The sequence below is a fragment of the Homo sapiens genome, chromosome 5, assembly GCF_000001405.40.
Source record: "Homo sapiens chromosome 5, GRCh38.p14 Primary Assembly".
NCBI classification, from domain to species: domain Eukaryota; kingdom Metazoa; phylum Chordata; class Mammalia; order Primates; family Hominidae; genus Homo; species Homo sapiens.
In genome coordinates, this window is record NC_000005.10 from 123,069,019 (window position 1) to 123,092,135 (window position 23,117).

General features: G+C 45.1%; 1 protein-coding gene, 1 long non-coding RNA gene and 1 pseudogene across 4 annotated transcripts in view, besides 2 other annotated features; 2 read left to right on the plus strand and 1 right to left on the minus strand.

The window, feature by feature from the left end:
* Positions 1,765-2,062, plus strand: RN7SL711P (RNA, 7SL, cytoplasmic 711, pseudogene; annotated as a pseudogene).
* On the minus strand, positions 17,213-21,298 carry PRDM6-AS1 (PRDM6 antisense RNA 1). The gene is made up of 2 exons (NR_146771.1): positions 21,054-21,298; positions 17,213-18,921 (listed from the first exon to the last, which is right to left on the minus strand). It is a non-coding gene; the product is annotated as a PRDM6 antisense RNA 1 (long non-coding RNA).
* Positions 18,873-19,417: an enhancer, noted in NCBI's record as "H3K4me1 hESC enhancer chr5:122423586-122424130 (GRCh37/hg19 assembly coordinates)". NCBI's record gives its function as "activates a minimal SCP1, AML or CMV promoter by ChIP-STARR-seq in primed H9 embryonic stem cells {active_cell/tissue: H9 hESC(primed)}" and the evidence as "EXISTENCE:reporter gene assay evidence [ECO:0000049][PMID:30033119]".
* Positions 19,418-19,962: an enhancer, noted in NCBI's record as "H3K4me1 hESC enhancer chr5:122424131-122424675 (GRCh37/hg19 assembly coordinates)". NCBI's record gives its function as "activates a minimal SCP1, AML or CMV promoter by ChIP-STARR-seq in primed H9 embryonic stem cells {active_cell/tissue: H9 hESC(primed)}" and the evidence as "EXISTENCE:reporter gene assay evidence [ECO:0000049][PMID:30033119]".
* PRDM6 (PR/SET domain 6) overlaps positions 20,223-23,117 on the plus strand; it is a 105,026-nt gene continuing 102,131 nt past the window's right edge. For all 3 annotated transcript variants that reach the window (XR_001742346.2, NM_001136239.4, XM_047417878.1), the window contains exons 1-2: positions 20,223-20,501; positions 20,982-21,588. Coding sequence is in view for 2 of the 3 variants with exons in the window: in NM_001136239.4 (NP_001129711.1) it covers positions 20,997-21,588 (592 nt within the window). In the remaining variant the exon portion in view is untranslated. The remainder of the gene's footprint in view (positions 20,502-20,981; positions 21,589-23,117) is intronic.

A 23,117-nucleotide genomic window follows, 5' to 3' on the forward strand; every position in this document is an offset into this window, starting at 1 on the left:
AAATGCCTATATCTTTAGGGACACAATAGATTCTGGGTTTGAACAGAATGTTTGGGAGAGGGAGGAGCTTTCCTCTAAACGTGAAAAAGATTTTCCTGGGTCACGGTGGGGTAGAATTAAGGAGGTACATGGGTGTGAATGCAGACAGAAGTGGAGGTCCAAAAGGGGCCTTCACCATGCTTTCCAGTAGATCCTGGATGCAGTGAGGCCCCAGGGAGTAAACGGGTGTGTGGGAGGTGCAAGGACAAATGGTCCCCCCAAAACGTTCACGTTCTAATTCTCAGAACTGTGTTACCTTATGTGGCAAAAAGAGACTTTACAGATGTGATTACGTGAAAGATCTTGAGGTGGGGAAGTATCCTGGAATACCCAGATGGACCTGATGTGATTCCAACGCCCCTTATAGGAGGGAGGCTGGAGAGCAGAATCAGTGAAGGAGTCGTGATGATGCTGCCCTGCTGGCTTGAGGGGTTCCAGCCAAGGAGTGCAGGTGGCCTCTAGAGGGTGGGAAAAGCAAGTTAAACGCATTCTCCTCTAGAGCTTCCAGAAGGAACCAGCTCTACTGACACCTTAATTTTAGCCCATAGGACCCATAAAGGAAGTAATCGTTCTTGCACACTGGGCTTGGGGGCTGAAATTCCTACTCTCTACACACCAATGTTTTCACTTCTGCTTCAGGGGAGGGCATCCACTGTGGGCCACATGCTTTATACATGCTTGTTCTAGTTCATCTTCACAACCCAATGAGGTAATATCCCCATTATCAATTTAATTTATTCCTGAAAATGTGCCAGATAGAGCATTATTGAAATGGGCTTATTCAAAAATAAATTGCAATCAATTTGGTCCAATTATCACCAAACGTCTCTTTTTTCTTTTTTTTTTTTTTTTGATGGAGTCTCACTCTGTTGCCCAGGCTGGAGTGCAGTGGCATCATCTTGGCTCACTGCAGCCTCCGCCTCCTGGGTTCAAGTGATTCTCCTGTCTCAGCCTCCCGAGTAGCTGGGATTACAGGTGCTCACCACCATGCCTGGCTAATTTTTTTGTATTTTAGTAGAGACGGGGTTTCACCATGTTTGTCAGGCTGGTCTTAACTCCTGACCTCAAATGATCCGCCCGCCTCAGCCTCCCAAAGTGCTGGGATTGCAGGCATGAGCTATCGTGCCCAGCCACCACCAAACATCTTAAACATCTATGTAACAATCCACCAAGGATTTCCACATCATATTAAAGTATTCAGAACACCCATCATCTAATTATTAAATACATCAGTGAGTATTTTGTGGGTATTGTACTATATAGTATTAATACCAATTAAATTTTTCTTCTACACTGTAGAGAATTGTAATGCAGACTAACAACATGCATGTATGTTAAAGATACACAACAAATGCAAATAACACAAACAAAATGCAGTTCTCTAGGGAGAATGGCTGAGCTACAACTATGATGTTTTCTACTTCCTCTAGCTTAGGCTCCTGTGTGAAACATAAACTTTTTCTCTGTTGTGCCCATGAGAATTCCTTCAAACTTGGGCGACCATATAATTCACGGTCAAGTTGGCACAGTTTTTGTGAGTGAAAGGAGAGCAGTTAGTAATTACATTGCGGCTGAGTACAGTGGCTCACCTCTGTAATCCTAGCACTTGGGAGGCTGAGGTGAGAGGATAGGATAGCTTGAGGCCAGAAGTTTGAGACCAGCCTGAGCAACATAGCAAGACTCTTGTCTCTACAAGAAAGAAACAAAAGAAAACAAAAAAACTCACCGGGTGTGGTAGTGTGTGCCTGTAGTCCCAGCTACTCGGGAGGCTGAGGTGGGAGGATCGCTTGAGTCCAGGAGTTCTGGGCTATAGTGCACTTTGTTGATCGGGTATCCACACTAAGTTCGGCAACAATATGGTGACCTCCAAGGAGCAGGGGGCTCCCAAGTTGTCTAAGGAGGGGAGAAGCAGCCCAGTTGGGAAACAGAACAGGCCAAAACTCCCGCGCTGATCAGTAGTGGGATTGTGCCTGTGAATAACCATTTCACTCCAGCCTGGGCACCATAGCAAGACTGCATCTCTAAAATATAAAAAAAATAAAAATACTTAGCCAGATGTGGTGACATATGCTTGTTGTCCTTCCTAGCTACCGGGGAGGCTGAGGTGGGAGGATGGCTTGAGCCCACGTTATGAGGTTATGGTGCGCTATGGTCATGCCACTGTATTCTAGCCTGGGCGACAGAATGAGACCCTGTCTCTAAAAATTAATAATTATTGATTAATTAATAATTACCTTGGTATAATAGCTGAAACTGGAATTGTCTAGGGCAAAGTGGGATGTTAAGGAATTTGGAAGATTAATATGTCTTTATGCATTTTGCTCTCACCTTGTTTTTGCCAGATCCTAAACTGTGAAGTCTTCTCTTTCCTTTTCCCTAACTTTAAAAAATTTTACATTTTCTAAAATGCAATATATTCTTGTCATTTAAAAAAGCCATGTTTTGTTTTCACCACACACAAGAAAGGTTACTTGTGAGACAATGAAAGTGTTAATTAGCTTGATGGTGGTAATCACTTGACGAGGTATACATATATCTGATCATCACATTGTACACCTTAAATATATACAAGTTTTATTTGTCAATTATACCTCAATAAAACTAGGGGGGAAACCCCACATCTAGCATGAGCCAGATACCTTGTACATTACTTAATTTTCCTGACTTGGTGAAGGACCCGTCCAGATACTGTTGTGCAGTCTACCCTTGATAGTCACTAGACTGTGCACACCTTTGAGCAAGTGCTGCTCCTATTCATCTTGGTGACCCTGTATCTCAGAGTGCCAGGCACAGAGATGGTACTCAACCACATGTTTGTTGAATGAGGGAACACCATATGTGAGAAAGAGACAAATTTCACCTCCTTTACTAATTGGATGTGCTAATCTACTTTAGAATGTTTCCTTTTTCTCTCTAGATTGCCACATGGAATTACATATTTTTTCCTAATATTGCCTTGGTAACCTCTGCTGGTACCTGTTCTAATATGTTAGCATGTGGCTCATCCTTCTATCTAAAGCTGTGGCTACTCTGTGGACCTTATAACAAAGAGAGTGTGAACTTCACATTAAATGTGATTCGAAGCTTCTAGATTCCATGTACATATTCAGCTATAGAAGCACCTCCTAAACATGGATGGAAATGCCTTAACACATGTCAGATGAGATTACAGCTCAGATTCCATGCAGGATCAACACACTGCCCTGCTATCTGGTGAAACTGTGCTAGTTTTTATAGTAAGAAAATAGTCTAATGAAGCTCTTGATCCATGAAGAGTATAAGTGTGCTCTACGAAGAGAAATTGTGAGTAATTCATGACCCAAGTCTAGGATAAAATATGGATCATTAAAACCAGCATGCCTCAATCTGAGCTTTCAATACTTAGAACTTTGGAATCACAAATATTGGATCGTTATCATTTTTGAGCAAGCAAGCTTTAAGCATTTCTAATCCTAGTTTTTCAGGGGAATTGTTTATAGAAAACTCCCTCTTAACTTTGCTAGGTAATTGGATGTGCTAACCTACTTTAGAATGCTTCCCTCTTCTCTCTAGGCTACCATATGGAATTCTAAAGACACACATTCTCCTTTCTCAAATCTCTCATTTTGCCCACCATTAATTTAATTTTGATGGTAGAGGTCTACCCTGAATATTATATAATATGTATTGCATTTCAATACAGACAAAGAGGTGAGGATGAAGAATTTCAGCTCATTTTTTTTTAAATCTGAGGCTAAAATAAAAACAAGAAAATGTCAGAAGGACCATTAAAGACTTTCTTTCTGTCAAGCTCATAGATGCTTGAATAGCCTCTATCCGTCTCAAAGACCCTAGATGGGGAACAGTTATGTAGCATGTTTGTTGGTACTTCAGATGGAAAAGAAGGACACTCATTTAGGATGCCTTAAACAGCCCTGCCCCACCGAGGCTAAAATGTCTTTTAAGAAACAACTCTAGAGAATGGGACACCTTATTGTTTCTTCAAGAGCTGGCATCTTTCTATGCCTCACTTTTCTACTGTGCTACTATGAGGTGCGTCAACTTCTTGCTTTCTTCTTCCAAAGAACCTGCTCTTATGGACCCAGAGACTCTATCCCCAAATCACATTACCCAAGAGAAAAAATCTGATTGGTCAGTCAATCCCCGCCAGCACAGAGTTTGCCTCTAGGCAGAGATCTTAGACAAGGTCACCTAGTCATGTGTAGATAGTTGTGATTGGGTTAACCTCCCATTCTTGGTCAACTTAGCTGTGGCCAGTGTACTGGTTTTAAATGATACACTTATATGTTACACCTGCTGGTAACAAACTCCTCACAAGGGAGGCCATGGGAATGGTAGGCACACTGAAGTTTCCCAGCCCCTGGCATTCTGTTCCTTTGGATAAGTGAGAGGAGTTCTTTGATTTTTGTCACCACTCATTTCTTTCTTCATTAAACTTCCATCTGCCCTGGTCTACCATATTCCCCACTCCACTCCAATCCCATAACATCCAGTGGTGAAGCTTTCCCTTCTGAGTGTGTATATTTGTTCATGTTTGACTCAGAAATCTGGAAATTGAGTGTATTAAATAAATAAAAGTTTCCTCCATTCTTCCAGGAGCTGATGTAGCTTACGTTATTTCCAAACTCTGTATTCCATGTAGAATTCATGAAAGCCATGTAGTTCAAAATTAATTTGATTATTCTCTCAGGTTATCTGGGGCTTTGCTAGGACCAGCCAAGTTCCCATTTCTTTCGTTTGTGTCGATCAGATCACATAATGTTTTATACTTTCATTTCTTGGCCCCATGATTACACACCATGGAGCTCATTTAGAATGTCCTGGCGTTGCTCCTGTGTGAGATATGAGTGCATTCTGCGAGTCCACAGACGTGTGCTGGCATTTCTTATTAAAGAGAAAATGGACCACACACTTCTGGCTTGTGCTTACAAAGTCTGAATGGAAATTATTAGACCATAGGGAAGACTTGCAAGAGATAATGGTAATGTAGTAATTTTATCAGTTCATTCCATCTGAGAGGAAGAATCTCTTAATTTTCCTTCCTTCATTGGAAGAACTGTTTATGAACGTATAGTTCAATGACTCCAAAGAGCTGTGTGAGGGCTCCATGGGGGTCTCACGGGCAGAAACCCTTAGCTTCAGAAAGGACTTAGGAGTATAAACAGACACTAATGCAGAAATAATTCAATGTGTAGCTATTTATGACTGGCATCAGGAAAGACAGTGAGCCCTGTATACATAGGCAGGGTGCAAGAATGCACTCTCTTAAAACACAGAGGGCAGGTGGACTCAAACTCTCTAGGTTGCCAGCTCCACCCTCTAGCCCTGTCATAGTCTCTGAACTACAAGCCTCCTGTTGGCTTTGACTCTCTGGGTTTTGTCTGTGACAAACCTCCATGTGGTAGGAATTTGGGGTAAATGCATTCATTCATTTGTTCATTTATTTATGTGTACCCTTGTTCATTCATTCATTCACTAATGCACTCAATCATTCATTTATTGATGATTTAACAAGTATTTGATGAGAGCCTCCATGTGCCTAGTGGCATGTCAGGAACTGAGTGGTGTATGAGGGGTATATGAAAATAAGGGTAAGTCACAATTCCTGTATCCCTGTTCTCCAGAACTTTATGGGCTTTTGTTTTTGTTTTTGAGACAGAGTCTCGCTGTGTTGCCCAGGCTGGAGTGCAGTGGCACCATCTTGGCTCACTGCAACCTCCACCTCCCGTGTAGCCTCAGCCTCAGCCTCCCAAGTAGCTAGTATTACAGGCGTGCACCACCATGCCCAGCTAATTTTTGTATTTTTAGTAGAGACGGGGTTTTGCCATGTTGGCCAGGCTGGTCTCAAACTCCTGACCTCAAGTGATTTGCCCACCTCAGCCTCCCAAAGTGCTGGGATTACAGGTGTGAACCACTGCACCTGGCCCTTTATGGTTTTATTTAAGAGACAAACCTAGCACATATTTTAGAGTTTAGTATAATACACGACAGTTCAGAATGTCAGTGCCAAAAAAGTGACCCAGATAGTATGAACTATGGGAATTCCCAGGAAGGTGAACATAAGCAGAGGAGGTTACCAGGAGAAAATGGGACTTGAGCAGGATTCTGAAAGATAGGGGCTTTTAGCAGGAATGGAACAGAGAGGAGGGACCTTGAAACAAAAAAAACACAGAATAAGCAGAGGCAGAAAGTCATACATGATAATACCGTTTATAGAAGAGAGTGAGGAGATTATTCTGGCAAGAGGAAAGGTACCATATTTGGAGTAATAAGGGATAAATGTCAAATTAGATGAGGGCCAGATAGTGAAGGAATTTGAATGAGAGAAACAACGTGTTTTGACTTTATTTGATATAGGTTTTGAGAACCTTTAGCACATGTCTTGAGTACAAATGTGATGCTGTTGCAAAGAGCTTACAGTAGCTCAGGGGTTCCACCATTACCCAAATAATCAGATGGTGTTCCTGGAAGTACAGTAGGGAGGGGAGCTTTGACACAGGCAGCCCCCTAGTAAGTAGTGAGAAGAGGAAGGGGAAATGGATCAAAAGGGAGGATAATGTGATTTTTCTAACCCTATGTGAAAAGTTAAAGGGCTTTCTTTTTCTTTTTTCTTTTTTTTTTGAGACAGAGTCTCATCCTGTTGCCCAGGCTGCAGTGCAGTGGCACCACCTTGGCTCACTGCAACCTCCACCTTCCGGGTTCAAGGGATTCTCGTGCCTCAGTCTCCCAAGTAGCTGGGATTACAGGTGTGTACCACCACATTCGGCTGTTTTTGTTTCTTTCTTTGTTTGTTTGTTTTTAGTAGAGACAGGGTTTTGCCATATTGAGCAGGCTGGTCTTCAGCTTCTGGCCTTAAGTGACCTACCCATCTTGGCCTCCCAGAGTGCTGGGATTAATTACAGGTGTGAGCCACTGTGCCCGGCCAACTTTCTGACATAGGTTTGCATGTGTAAATTTGAATCAAACAGGAATTGCCAGTAAGAGATATCCTTTTGTGCAGTGGCTTATTTAAAAAGGGGAATGTATTGGCTCACATAGCTCAGGGCAAGAGGGAGGATTTAATGCACAACTTCAGTAATTTCATATAAAGTTGACGACAATCACTTTTTCTTGTTCTTTGACTAAGGTTCACATAACTCACATATTTAACATATTACATAATCCTTAAATATTTAGCACCACTTACATGTCCAAATTCCCATAGATGATTTTAGAAAAGAACAAACTACAACAGATATAATAATGCAATAATAACACTTACATAGTACTATATGCTGGGCACTCTCATAAGCACATTATGTTATTCATATAATCCTCACAATAACCTTATCAGATAGGTACTAGTATTCACAATTTTTAAAAATGAGAAAAAGGCCCAGAATGTCTTAATACATTTTGTGTTGCAATAAGGGAATACTGAGGCTGGGCAATTTACGAAGAAAATAGGTTTATTTGGCTCTCAGTTCTCTGCAGGCTGTACAAGAAGCATGATGGCAACATTTGCTCAGCTATTGGTAGAGGCCTCAAGCTGTTTCCACTCAGGGCAGAAGGTGAAGGGGAGCTGGCTGTGTAGAGATCACATGGCTAGAGAGGAGGCAAAGGGGTGGGAGGGAGATGCCAGGCCCTTTTTAACAACCAGCTCTCTCAGGAACACCTGCCCTCCAGAGAGGGCATTAATCTATCCATGAGCAGTCTACCTCCATGACCCAAACACCTCCTATTAGGCCCTACCTCCAACACTGGGGATCAGATTTCAACACAAGGTTTTTGAGGACAAACATCCAAACTGTAGGAGGGAGAATTTTATACATCTAATAAGTTGTACAACTTGGATTCAAACCCAGTCATTCAGACTCCAGAGTTCATCCTCTTAACCACTATACTTCTACTGATAGTAAAACTTGACAGATGTCTCAAGAAAATTACAAATTAACATCCCTCAAGAGTATAGATGAAAAAATTTCTCAAAATACTTCAAACCAAATTCAGGATGAATTATTTGATAAATAATTCCGGGCTGTTCATCAAGACCAAATGGATTTATCCTGGGAATGCAAGGGTGGCTTAACATTTGAGACTTGAGCAACACAACACAATGTATTACAGAATAAAGGACAAAATCACATGATCATTCCAATAGACCAGAATATACATTTGACGAAATCCAACATCCTTTCATGGTAAACAAAATAAAATAAAATAACTGGGAAAAAACAAAACTGCATCAAACTGATAAAAGCTATGTTTGAAAAATTCACAGCTAACCGTGTAGAAGACTGATTGCGTTTTTCCCTAAGGTTAAGAAGAAGGACAAGATTGTCTCCTCTTGCTACTTCTCTTCAATATTGTACTGGCTCTAGCCAGGGAAATTAGGCAATAAAAAGAAACAAAAGACATCCAGATCAGCAAACAAAAAGTAAAATTACTTTTATTCACAAATGACATGATCTTTTATGGAAAATGCTAATGAATCCACAAAATAACAAATTTTAAATGATAAAGTTCAGCAAGGTTGCAGGATACAAGGTCAACACACAAAAATCAATTGTATTTACATATACAACAGTGAACAATGCAAAAATGAAATTAAGAAAACAACTTCATATATAATAGTATCAAAATAATACAATACTTAGGAATAAATTTAACAAAAAATGCAAGACTCGTAACTGAAAACTACAAAACATTGTCAAAAGAAATTAAAGAAGACAAATAAATGAAAACACATCTCATGTTAATGCATCAGATGACTTAATATTGCTAAGAATATAATACTCCTTGAATCGATCTACAGATTCAACACATCCCTATAAAAATCTCAGCTAGCTTTTTTTGCAGAATTTGACAAGCTGTTCCTAAAACTCATATGGAAAGTAAAGAAGTTCAGAATAGCAAAGAAAAAAATATTGAAAAAGAAGAGCAAAACTGGAGAACTCCCACTTCATGATTTCAAAACTAACTACACAGTTGCAATAATCAAGGCGGTGTGGCGCTAGTACAAGAAGAGATATATGTCAGTGGAATAAAATTGAGAGTGCAGAAATAAGCCCTTACATTTATAGTTAATTGGTTTTTCAAAAGGATACCAAAACTACTTAATGGTGAAATAATAGTCATCTCAAGAAATGGTACCATGACAACTGAATATGCAAAAGGGTGAAGTTGGACCCCCAACCTCATATTATCTACAAAAATTAACTCAAACTGCATCATAGACCTTACTATAAGAGTTAAAGCTATAAAACTCTTAGAATAAAATACAGGAGTAAATCTTAATGACCTTAGTCATAATATGACCCTAAAAGACCAGTGGGGAAAGAAAAAATAGGTAAACTGGACTGCATGAAAACTTAAAACTTTTGTGCTTCAAAGAACACCATCAAGGAAATGAAAAGACAACGCACAGTTTGGGAGAAAATATTTGCACATTATATATCTGAGAGGAAACATATCCAGAATACACAAAGAATTCTTAGAACAACAAAAACACAAATAACCTAATTTAAACATGGGGAAAGGAATTAAATAGACATTTCTCCAAAGAAAATTTACAAGTGCCCATGAGACACAAAAAGGGCCAGGCATGCTGACCCACACCTGTAATCCCAGCATTACAAGGAGGTCAAGGCGGGAGGGTCCCTTCAGCCCAGGTGTTCAAGATCAGCCTAGGCAACACAGGGAGACCCTGTCCCTACTGACAAAAAATTTTAAAAATTAGCCAGATGTGGTGATGTGCACCCGTGGTCCTAGCTACTGGGGAGGCTGAGGCAGGAGGATCACTTGAGCCCAGGAGGTCAAGGCTGCAGTGAGCTGTGTTCATGCCACTGCACTCCAGCCTGGGTGACAGAGCAAAACCCTGTCTCAAAAACAAAAACAAAAACAAAAGAAAAGAAAAAGAAAAAAGGACACACAAAAAGATGCTTAACATAATTAGCTATCAGAGAAATACAAATAAAAATCACAATGAGAAACCTGTATCAAAAAGAATGGGTTTCTTTTTGAGGTGATGAAAATCTTCTGTAACTGGATAGTGCTAATTGTTGCATTACTCTGCAAATATACTACAAATCATTGAATTGCACACAGTTAAAAGGAAAATTTTATAATATGTAACTTATATTTCAATAAAGCTGTTATTTTTAAAAAGCATGAGAGAAAATATTGATAAAGGTAGTTACAACAAATTTAAATAGCAAACAAAATTCTGGAGAGAAAAAAAATGGGCTACTCATAACCCAGAACCCAAAGAAGGCTAACTGTCTTAACATAAAAGGAGCTTTTACAAAACAAAAACAAAAAACAAAACCACACACAATCTAAAGGGAAAAATAGGCAAAGGATATAAATTGAGTTTTTTAATAAAAAGAAAACTCAACATATAAAAAGTTGCTAATTTCCAATAATAAGTGACATAAGTATTACAACCTCACAGAGAAACCAATTTCAACCATCAGATTAGCACAAATCAACAATTTTGATAACACTGTGCTGGTGAGGATTCAGGAAAAACTTTATAAAAGTTTTTGCCTATAATTTTTTTCTCCAGAATTTTGTTTTCTATTTAAATTTGTTATGGCTTTTGCAATGCAGATTATTCAAAGCTTTTTATGTAACTAAATAAAATAAATGAGGGGCAATTTGGAGATATATATATATATATTATATAAAAACATTGCACATTCACATACCCTTTGACCCAGCAATTCTACTACTGGGAAGGTATTCAGTGGGAACTGTAAATACTTAACAATCAATTCGCCCCACAAAAAAGGGTAATGGAAGCCTTTTATTTGTAGACTTTGCCAATTTTAGTGGTGTAAGTAGTTCCACCACACCAATTTCAAGCTACTGTCCTAACATCAACTGATATCAGAATTCCTGAACTTTTCACAAATGGCTGTCACAAACCCATCTTAGCACACCATTGAATATTCATCAGGAAATGCAAAAGGATATATGTGCCAAATTGCAAAATTATGTGTAATAGTAAGAGATTTGAAACAATCTAAATGGCTATCAATGAAGAACTGCTTATTAAAATACAGATGGCAGAGAAACAAAGTAGACAACTGCTTAAATTAATTGGAGCATAACATTATAAAAACAAATTGAAAATCATCTTTATTTACAAGTATATAACAATCTCTAAGCTATATTTTTAAATGGAAACAACTAAGATGCAGAGCAGTGTATCATACAACATTTGAGGAAAAGGTATAACTATATATGTACAGAATATCTCTGGAAGGATATTTAAGGTACTAGAATCATTTATTTCCTCAGGAGAGGAGAAATGGGTGACTCATCCACATACCTGATCAGCATGCTGCTGAACACTCTCCAGGACTCTGCGACTATCTGGACTATCCTCTTGAGTCCTCTGTTCTGCACTCTAGCCACCTTGGCCTCCCCAGAATCTTGGCTCCATCTCCTAGACTCAAGAAGTTGCTGGTCTCCACCTGGTTTCCTCCTCCTTGTGCCATGTCCTGAAGGCTGTTTCAATCTGTGTGGCTTGGTTAGGGCTCAGGTCCAGACCTGGCCAGTCAATGTACTCTATTTCCTTGGCTGTAATGGCTAGTTCAGGGATAATAGGGTGACCATATCAGTCTAAGACTCAATTCCAGAATTTCTGTTGGAAGTTTTTCTTCTGGGATTGCTATCTTATTCTAGAAGAATAAGGTGGAGGCAACCACATGAAAGATTCTGCCTGACATTAAATTCAGAACAGAGGAAGGCAGAATGAAGAGACTAAGAGACTGAGACTTCATGATGTTGTTTGAACCTCTGAATGCATCTATACCCAAAACCCATAACCTGTTTTTTTTTTTAATATTTGAGCCATCAAATCCTTTTTTTCCCAGTCGAGATCAGTTCAATTTAATTTCTGCCACCTGCAGTTGAACGAGTCCTCAGTAATATAGCTGAACTAGATCAGCCCTGCTTCTTTTTAACACCCTTCTCAAACTCTGGGGATAAATCACAGTGGTCCTCTGTCTTCACGCACGCGCGCGCACACACACACACACACAGTCACTCACAGACTCACACCAACTTGATCCTCTCCTTTTTCATCAAGGAGAAGGGAGCGGAGGACTCATACCACCCATTCTGTATCTGGCAATGAAAAGACAAAGAGTGCCAATAATCATGTCACAAGTAAAATGGCATCTACACAAATGAAATGCAACATTGCTAAATGTGAATGTACTTCCAATTCATTTTTACCAAGAAAAAAGTCATTTAAGAAATGCTTGCACTCATCTTAAAAAATCATTTTTTGGGGGACTAGCCCTGTAAAGCAACTCATGGAAATCTGTAAGAGAATGAGACCAACAGAAGATCTTGAAGGTGACAGAATAGTAGTGACAGTCCTAAGCGAGGAGGTTACTGGAATGTTTGACCTTCTCTACTGGCTCCAAGACAAACATTTGTTTTGAGGAAACAATTGTGAAAAATGCTTCTGTTTGAAAACATTAGCTTACGGAGCAAACAGTTGATTTAAAAATCTATACTTAAACTATTAGGTTTCTGCCAAATAAAACACTTGTCCACCCAAACATATGTTTCAATGAAAAATGCTTGCCATTGTAGACAGAGCAGAAGGAAATGCCCAAAATATGGTCAAACTTAGCAATAGTTTAAAAATCAAGTTGTTAACCACTGAATTGTCAAGATGGTAATTTTCCAATCAATGTTCCAGTATCACTTGTCAATTATTGTACTATAAAAATAGACTAAGGATGTATTTTATGATTATTCATCTTTTAAAACATTCTATTTAAGAATCTGGCAGTCTTATCAATGCAAAAATAGTTTTTTTTCTTTGAGAGTCAGGAATCCTAAGTTGCTTTTTTGCAATTTCTTCTTCTTCTTCTTCTTCTTTTTTGAAGGGAGGTTAACTATATAACTTGGAGTCTTCCCAAAGATCCTTTCCTTACAGATTAACCTTACAGATTGGCACTCTTTGTCTCTGTTGTTTCATTCCAGAATACAGAGTAGGAGCCCCTCCACTCCCTTCTCCCTTACAGAAAGAAGACCAAGTTGGTGTAAGTCTGTGAGGGACTGTGTATGCATGTGCATCTGTGTGTATGTGAGGTTAGTAGACCGTGGTCATTTGTCCCCAAAGTCTGCGAGAGAGGCATGTTAAAAAGAAGCAGGGCTGATGCAGTCTAGCTATATAACTACGGTTAATCTGTAAGGATCTTTGGGAAGTGTATTTGTTTATTCTAAAACATTTTCCTACATGGTCTTTACCTCAGATGTATCTGGATCACTAGTCTTTTAAACTGCATTTCATTCCTTTTTTTTGTTGTAGTTCTTTATAGTTTAAAAAGAGCAGCTCAGAAAATCATAGTGTGTGCCATCCAGAGCTAGGAAATGGCATTGCCAAGCTCACCAAATCACAGTCCAGGAGAATATGTGCTGTACTGATGGCTTTATCCTGGAGCCCTGAACTGTTTTTCAGTTTCCCTAATTGTGAGTTGATTCTCAGACTTAAGCCTGAGCATATTTTAGGTCACAACATTCTCATAAAAGCATCTTTCAGAATCTATGGAATGTGACTTCAGGACCCCCAGGGAGATGAGGTCCTGGTTCTTAAGGAGGGCAGCCAGCCATCCAGTTTTTCTCGTGAATGGAGGAAGAAAAGTCACCTGGGCCTCTCAGACTGTGTAGGGACCAGTCTTCGGGTTTTTGCTCAGGCAGCCCCCGTCCTGGAACACTTTTCCTCAGTTCCTCCCTACCCACCTGAATGCACACAATCTTTATGGCCCATCTCGTTTGTGAAGCTTTGCTTGATTGTCTCCTAAAGGGATGGCTTTCTCTTCTGAACTCTTATGCCACTTGTCAGCTCTTGAACCCGAGCATTAGAGAGAGAAACTAGGTCTCTGAAAGATTTCCACAGTAGAAGATTATGGAAGGCAGGGGTACCACAATTTACACACTTTTGGTTTTCCTCACAGTGACCTGCACAGTGTCTTTATTTTGGTTTAAAGACAAGTTTTCCAGTTTCAAAAGGAAACGGAGAATAGGTTATTTTTTTCTTTGAGAGGCTTTTACATAGAGAACATAGACTCACCGGAAACAATCCAATAAAAACAAGCCTTAGTGTCACCCTCTGACACCCCAGCTCAGAGGAGGGTAAAGGCATGCAGCCAGACAGGAAAGTGTATGATGAGGGAGGCAGACAGGCTTCCTCAGGTTCCTCTAGGTATATGTAAGAGCCGCTGTGAGAATATGCATTCTCTTTCCTCAACCCGCCCTGGGAGGGGGGAAGTCTCAGGAACCCCCTCATTTAGAGGGTAGCTGGAAGCTGCTCCTAGAGACTGTTGCTGGGCACTCAGGGGAACCTACCATGCACTAGGAACTGCCAACCCTCAGAAGGTGAATCAACCATAGCATATGTTTCTAATTCGAACAGATGTACTGTAACATGCTTACCTCATCCTGGTTATGACTGAAGTCCTATAAGCTTCAACTAATTTAAGCAACAATCTGGTGACCAACAGAAGACTGTGTCTGAACCAGGTAGCATTTGCTAGAAGAGCTTCAAAGAAGATTGTCCCAGAGATCCCTACCAATAGTCTCGTGCACACAGTATGTGTTCATTAGATATTCTGTACAGCTGTTAAATTGTAGGTAACTATAATTGGGTTTGTCTATTCTTACAGATACTTGGAAAAATATAAGATTAAATTCCTGGGGAAAGGGTGGGATGGGAAGGAGATAGTGAAGGGAATTTGTGAGTTTCTGAAGGGATAGCTATTCTTGTCTAATCATTTCTCTTTTCCTTGACTTGTCAAGACAAAAAAAAAAAAAAAAGGAGTTGTTTTTCACCCAGTTGCTATTCATTAAATCTTTATGGGACTGAACTGCCACCAATATGTTTTAAACTCACGAGACCTTTGCAAATTATAATAGCTGATTTCCCTGCAAACGGAAAGGATATATTTAGAGGCTTTCCTGGGAGAATGAACTGGCCCCAGGGATTCATAATGGACTGCAGAGCCTTTCACCTCAAGGTCAGTAGGTCAAATCCAAATCAGGCCTGAGGTGGCTGAGAGGCATCATTTGACTGGCAGCTGTTGGGTGACCAGGGTGAAAGGAACTGGAGGCTTCGGCTGCATTTCAAGTAACGTGAATAGGTGCTGTCTGCCAGGGTCCTGGCGGAGGATGAAAGAGAGTGGTCACAAATCTCCTGGGCTTGGTCTCCCGGACCCAGAGGCCATTTTTGACCTGGCAAAGTGAGGAGCTGAACTTCCAAGTACTTTTGTGAGAGGAGGAAAGCTGAGGGAAGGACATGTCTAAATTGCCAAGGCCTCAGAAGAGGAGGGTATGTCAGATGAATGGCGAGGCACCTGCTGCATCACCTGAGGCCAGAGCTGGCTTCTGTGTGCTAAGCATTTCACTGCCTTCTATCTCCTCTGCCTCACTCCTCGCACCCTTTCTTTCCAATGGTGGCTGGCGCTGTCTTCTGTCACTAAGTAAGGATGAACAAGTGAAGATGCAAAGGGATCAACGGGCAGACTGCAGTGATTAAAATTAATGGTGAGGGTTTTCTAGTTTTTAGTTGGGCAATACATTTTACACCCTGCTCATCTTAGACTCACAGCATGCAGGAGTAGGGTATAAAATATGTAATAGGGTGGGGAGGTCAGAATTCGGTAGCTGCTTCATAAAAGCTTAGGACAGAACACTGCATTTGTCCTGCCTCTTCTTTGGACTGTTGAAGAAATTGAGGTCCAGATAGTTGGAGGTCGGTCACCGTGTCAGGGTCTAAGTTACCAGCAAGTTAGGCGACTCCAATTGATGAGAACAGTCAATGGAGGTACTGAAAGAATATCGAGTAGTACACAGCAGCTTAAGGGAAGCAAGTGTGGCCAGTAGCGAGGAGGCAAATCCTTGACAGTTCTTCAGGAGAGGCCCCTTTTACTGCTTTAGCCACTGGCTATAGGTTAGGGCAGGGAATATCCCGCTCTGGACAGAAAACTGGCATCTTCTTGCTTCAAGTCTCTATTTAAATTTCACTTTCTAACAGAAGCTTTCCCTGGCCACTATATGTAAAACAGTAACTCCTTCCACCTACATGCACTCCCTTTCCCTCTATCCTTTATTGCTTTCCATAGCACTTATTCCCATCTAACCATTACTGATTTATTACTTACTATTTACTTTCAGTCTCCGCCTCCAACCCCCTTCTCCATGATCCCATTTCTGAGGGGTGGAGTGTCCTCCAAAAGTTGCCTGTGCCCTCAGGAGAGGAGGTTCCCTTAGATTCCAAGTCTGGGCAAGTTTCAAAGCTCCTCCCTTGGGAACCTCATAGGGATGGGGGTGGGGTCCTGTTTTTTTCTCACAGCTTTCCCTTTTGCCTGCAATCCAAGATCCTCAGTGAGAAGGCTCCTCCCTGGTCCCAAACCATGGAGGAAAGGAGCTTTCTAAACAAGCGAATGAACAGGTATGGAAGGAAAAAGGGCCACCGCAGGCCAGAGTCTCTGTGCTGTTTAGATACCACATTTTCAACCAAGTTTTTGCTGGCAGGCTCAAGGGACCTGTCTGCTAATACGGCTCAGCAAAGATTCCTCCTAGCTACATCCAGCCTTTCCTTCTCCTCCCGCCCCCCTCCTTTCACCTGCAGCCCACCCCCCACCCCCATCCATTTCCTAGGAAAACAAATCTCTGGGAGGAGGCAGGAAGAGTGGATCTCAGCGAACCCTTCTGAATAAATGTCTATATTAATGAATTATTAACTCAGCCACCCGTGACCTTAAACCTACTAGAAGCAGGAGCACCCAGGGCAGAGCGGAGAGCTGCTGAATCCTTTATTGGAGTCCTGTCAAAGGCAACCGACCATTTGTTCCACTCCCCCATCAAGAAAAAATAATATGAAAGGCAAACTTTTGAATTGTATGTTAAACGGAATCAGATAGAGGGTCTCCTGGACAGAACCCCCTTCTCTCCTCCTACCCCTTCTGCTGCTCCCTCCCTACCCTGGCCTCCAGCTACATCCTTCCCCTCCCAGCTCAGGGTACAATGGGCTTCCCAAGGATAATTTTCGGGGCGAAAATGCTCGAGAAAATGATGAATTTGGGTAATTTATCGATCCTGGCTCCTCTTCCCACTTGTTTTATTTTAGAGGTCATTAATCAATGAAGAAAAACACCACCGTGTCCCCCCGTTTGCATTTAATACACTCAAGGCTCCTCATTTATTCCTCTGGAACAAATTCCCAGCAAATATTCACCCATCGATTTGGGAGCGATGGATTTTTATAAAGGTTTGATCGCTTTCTAAGTGGTCGAAGTGATTTGTTTCCGTGGTCTTCTCAGTATTGAAGGGGGTGGGGGAAGCGGATTTGAGGGGGTGCATGTCCTTGCCGTCGGTGGGCTCACTTTCTAAAAACTATTGAGATGCGCCAGGGTGGCCGTGACCAAGCGGGCCCAGGGTCAACTGTGTGAGGGGGAAGCGCCCCTCAGAGCGCGCGCAGCGTCGGGGGTCCAGCTTACGCCGCTGCGCGCCCTTGTGCGCACCGGGTGAGGATGCCGAGCTCTGCGGGCATCCCGGAAGCCGCGGTGGAGGCAGGGGCCCCGCTCGGCGCAGTGGGCCTGCTGGGGAGGTGCAGGGGAGGTCCTGACTCCTGGTCTATTCCCTTCCAGACTTTTTCGTTCGCTCCCGGACCTTCAGGGCTCTCCCTCAAACTTTCTCCTGCCCCCTTCACGGGAGGTTCCTGTAGCCTCTGGGCCTTAGGGTCCCGTAAGCCTCGGGATCGACTTGTGCCCGGGGTGGGTGTGGCGGAAGCTTGAATCGGATTACCCAGGTACGCCACCTGTAGACGTAGTGGGCGAGGGGGACTTTGCTACCTTCTCAGCTTCTTCCCTGGACCCCGCAGCGAGGGGAACCAAATCTCTCCCATGATAGCCCCTCTGGCGTCAGTCTGGACCGAGTGGCTACAGGTTGGACTAGGGTAGGCAGAAGATGCACTTGGCACCTTACCGAACGGTATTTGAATCCGTCTCCATTACTCATTAATGGCGTGACCTTAGGCAACCCATCTAAACTTTCCGAACCTCAGCGGTCCCCATCTACAATATGGGGGTTAATGATAATGCCTTCTCCGCATGTAGGTGGATTAAATGGACATAAAGCGCCTACCCCCGCCCGGCACGTCCAAAACTCTCATTAACAGGTCAGCTAATCTTATTACGAGAGGAACCCTCCCTCCTCCGCTTCCCAGAGTGTGGGCGGCATGAGGCCACGGAAGCAGCTGCTGCAACTAGCATTTCAAAATCCAGAGACTTTCTAATGGTGGCAGGGGGTGAAAGGGTAGGGGGGAGGCAGGGTTGGGACAGGTAGAGGTAGGTTCTTGGGGACTTCCAGTCTTGGGGACCAAGCGCTTGGAACTAGCTGGGTTTGGGCAGAAACAAGAAGGCAAATGACGGGACCGCCGCCGGAGTCCGGACTTCCATCCCTGGAGTTCACTGTCTCTCCCAGGGAACAGAGGAGTGTCCTGGTTTCTCAGCAATGAACCAGGAGAGTGTGAGAAAGAGCATTTGTTTCTTCTCCCGTGGCCCGACAAGCCACTCTTCGGCAGTTCTGCGAGCAGATTAATTGAAACGGGCCTGGAACTTCATCCTCTCCTCCCGATGGAGTTGCTGGAGGTCTGCGGACACTGCCTGGTTAGCCTCCGGGACCACAGCGCCGTGGGCTTTCCCTCGTGGTGTCTGCCTTAAACTTGGGTGCTATCAATCTATCCAACAATGACGGATGACCTTGTCATAACGACGCCAGTCAAAACATTTTCGGTCTAACTCTCTTCCAACCAACATCGAAGCATCCTGAATGAGACCCGGATGAAGTCTGAACAGCACGTTTCCCAGGTTCAGAAAACTTGAGTGGTGGGAAGAGAAAAAGAAACAAGCAGAAATCAGGAAAGAATGGCTATTAATTGCTCAGATTGGCAAGTGCTAAATAAGTTAGGTTGTTTGGAAAAAGATAAATGCCGTTTCTTCTCTTTACGGTATGGCCAGAACCCCGGCGATGGGAAAGTACCTCCTGAGTCGGTCAATTTCACACACCCTGCCTGTGCCCTCTACCATCTACTACCGAAAATGCCAGGAAGAGCTGGGGGGCAAGTGCCTCCTTCGTGGGTGCGAGACTGCATCGAAGGGCTGCCCTGGCACAAAGTCTGGGGAGAGGACATGGTGGAGGTGGGGCTGCACTCCCACCCTGCCCCTCTAACACCAGGTTTTGGGTAGAGAAACCTATGCGTGACCTCCTGCGGCAGCCGCAGGCAGCTGACCGCAAACAGCCTCGCCCGTGTCCCGGAGCAGTTGTGCCACCAGACGTAACACTGGATACTTGTCTCCGGGCCCCAAGAAGGAGAGGGAAAGAGCCCTCCAGAAGACAACCCGAGAAGGGGTCAGCAGAGCGCTGGGTGGAGTGCAGACTCCATTGCAGCCGCCTCCCAGCCCCACGGCCAAGCTTGAGTCCCTCCAGGACCAGCTGCTCTCGGTCTCAGGACCCTCGGTCCTACGCCTCCCTGCACCGACAAGCCTCCCTCCTGGGCTGCAGACAGAGGGTTTCACTGCAGCGCGCAACCCGTCCCGCTCCGCCCCCAACTTTTCTCCCCGGAGGATTTATGTTAGAGGTTGCGTGGCGGGCGAGTGGACTCTGGCACCCAGAAGCACTTCAGGAAAAACTGAGCCGGGCAAAAGCGCAAACCCGGTCCTGGCGGCGCGGGCTTGCTCCAGCGCGGACACCACAGCGTGTGCGGAGATGCATTCCCGTTGCCGCATTTCCACTGCTTTCAAGATCAGGGCACTGAGCTGGGACCCAGAAAAGACATATCATGGGCAGAAAGAGACAACAGGCTAGCGGCAGACGTCACGCCAAAAAAACAGGGGATGGGAGGGCGGAGGAGTTTGTGCGGGAAAGGCGCTCTGGCGATGTGGGTCGGGCCGAATTAGAACTTCCTTCTTCCCTCTCCCCTCCCCTTCTTCTGGCCTGCCTCCCCTCCCCCCTCCGTTCTCTCTCTCTCTCTCTCTCTCTCTCTCTCTCTCTCTCTCTCTCTCTCTCACACACACACACACACACACACACACACACACACACACACACACACACACACACACACACACACTCACTCTATTTTGTGCTGTCGTAAAACCCACGTGTCCAGCCGGGAAGCTGCCAGAGCGTGGAACCAAGGAGCCAGGACGCGGCAGCGGCCAAGCGCAGCAGCCCACGGCGGTTGAGTCGGGCGCCCAGGTCCGTCCGCACTCTCGCGCCCTCCGCGGGCCTCCCAATTTTCTCGCTTGCAGGTCGGGAGGTTTCCGGGCGGCACAATCTCTAGGACTCTCCTCCCGCGCTGCTCAGGGGCATGTAGCGCACGCAGGGCGCACACTCTCGCGCACCCGCACGCTCACCGAGACACCCGCACGCACCCACCGGCAGCACCGAGTTTTCAGGTAAGGTGAGGCTGGTCTGGGACTTAAGAGTCTAGGGCTTGGTAGATAGGAAGGTTGGTGGTCCTAGGTTGGGGGCGGGCGGCGAGACTGTTCTGCCTCCTGGCGCCTGAGGCCAACGCGGCTCGGGCGCTGCGCCACGCCGGCTCGGGTCGGCTCCGGGCGCTGGCTGAGGGCGGGGGCTGCGTCCTGCAGCCGAGTTCTACGGGGCAGCGCCCTCCTGTCGGGCCCCAGCATTGCTGGATGGGAGCTGGACGCTGCGATCGGGGAGGCAGAGCAGGGTGCACACAGCTCCCTCTGTGCGGCGCCGCAGCTTCGGAGTAAACTTTGCGCCCAAGCGGAGTTGGGAAGAGGGAGCCGCGGAACCGGGCGGCCGCCGGCTGAACCACCGGCTCGGGCACTTTCTCCAGGGTCCCAGTGGCCCTCTTCCCGGCCCCTTTCGCCCAGCTCACGCGCCCCCTCTTCCCTGCCCTCTGCCCCCAGTTCGAGGCGCCGGACATGCTGAAGCCCGGAGACCCCGGCGGTTCGGCCTTCCTCAAAGTGGACCCAGCCTACCTGCAGCACTGGCAGCAACTCTTCCCTCACGGAGGCGCAGGCCCGCTCAAGGGCAGCGGCGCCGCGGGTCTCCTGAGCGCGCCGCAGCCTCTTCAGCCGCCGCCGCCGCCCCCGCCCCCGGAGCGCGCTGAGCCTCCGCCGGACAGCCTGCGCCCGCGGCCCGCCTCTCTCTCCTCCGCCTCGTCCACGCCGGCTTCCTCTTCCACCTCCGCCTCCTCCGCCTCCTCCTGCGCTGCTGCGGCCGCTGCCGCCGCGCTGGCTGGTCTCTCGGCCCTGCCGGTGTCGCAGCTGCCGGTGTTCGCGCCTCTAGCCGCCGCTGCCGTCGCCGCCGAGCCGCTGCCCCCCAAGGAACTGTGCCTCGGCGCCACCTCCGGCCCCGGGCCCGTCAAGTGCGGTGGTGGTGGCGGCGGCGGCGGGGAGGGTCGCGGCGCCCCGCGCTTCCGCTGCAGCGCAGAGGAGCTGGACTATTACCTGTATGGCCAGCAGCGCATGGAGATCATCCCGCTCAACCAGCACACCAGCGACCCCAACAACCGTACGTAGCCGCAGCCCGCGCGCTCTCTCCCGGGGCGCCGGCGCCGGCGCCGGCGGGCGCGGGTGCCTGTCAGGGAGGCGGGTCGGATAGGAGTGACACGGGGCCGGGTGGGTGGGGAGCACCTGGTCCTGGCCGCTGGCCCGCGCCTCCCCGATCTCTGTGACAAAAGTTTTCTGGCGTTGGAGAAGGAAAGAGAACGGATGGGACGGCCGGTGGCACTTTGGGGTTCCCTCTCCCTCCCTCTCCTCACCTGCTTCACAGTCCCAAGTGTTTGGGGCCGGAGTCTACCGTGGACCCGGCCTAACAGACCTCTGCCCTCCCGCCGGACAGTGCCCGGGGCCAGGCGGGTACTGGCAGCGTGTGACAGGGGGTGTCTGGGTCAGGCCCTGCCTGGCCTTAGCCGGGACGAGGGAGGGACCCTCAGCGTCTCTGGGGAGCACGCAGACCAGGGCTTGTTTTTGCTACTCTCCACCCCACCTCTGGAGGGGTCATTTTCGGGCCGCGGGGTTGTGGGGGAACCGGCGGGAGCTGTTCGCTGGCCAGGCCTCACTGGAGTAGGAATTTTAGATGAAACTGAGTCCGTTTCTCCTTGAAGGCAGGCAGTATTCTTAGATCTACTATTCATTTAAAAAGAAGGAAAAGAAAAAAAAATGACTGCTACTTACTGAGAAGAAAATTTCTGTTCTCCTCCGATTCCGCTGATCCCGCTTTATCCGCGCACCTTTGACCCCGCAAACATTCATAACCCATGTTGGTTTATGTATTTATTTTTAGAAATTAGGGTGACTGTAATTTAGTAAAAGACGCTTACTCCCCTCTTCCTCCAAGTTAATAGCAAATGCCTAACTAAACATCAGAATTCCTGTAGCTTCGGTTTCTATATTCACAATTTGAAACGCTTATCACAAGTACAGTTCCATTTGGCGGTTTTGAAGCAAAACTCTAAATGAAGATCAAGCAATATGTACTGCTTTATACCTGCTTCTTTTTGATAATTTCAGAAGTTATACTGTGTTTACACCTATACTGTGTTGGGAGTGTTAAACGTGCTCCCAGAGACTTCTGGAGATAACATTAAAGTGTGTTAAGAGCGTCAGATTGAAAGCAATACAGGATTTGAAAGATCAGCATTCATTCAGCTATTTTCTTCATCTCATTCCTTCGTCTGGCTTCTGTATGAGTAAAGTTAATTTAAAACATTTATTTTTATTCAATTTTGAATAAGTTGCTTCTTGCAAAATGTCTACCGCTCTGTGAACTTCTTAATTCGTTGTAAAAGCAAAATAAGTTCAGTTATAGCTCTTTAAAGGATTCCCTAAGTCGTTGATTTGATGAAAAAAAAAACACTGGGCAACTGCCTCGTGGTTGAGGTCTATGAATATTTTCATTATGTTGGACATAGCTGTGATGGAGATAATAATTACCAACAGAAAGAGCAATCGTATTTACTTTTTTCTTTATGAAGTTTGAGAGTAAAGCACTGGCTTAAAATAGTGGTTTCAACTCTAATTTTGCTGTGCAGTTGAGAA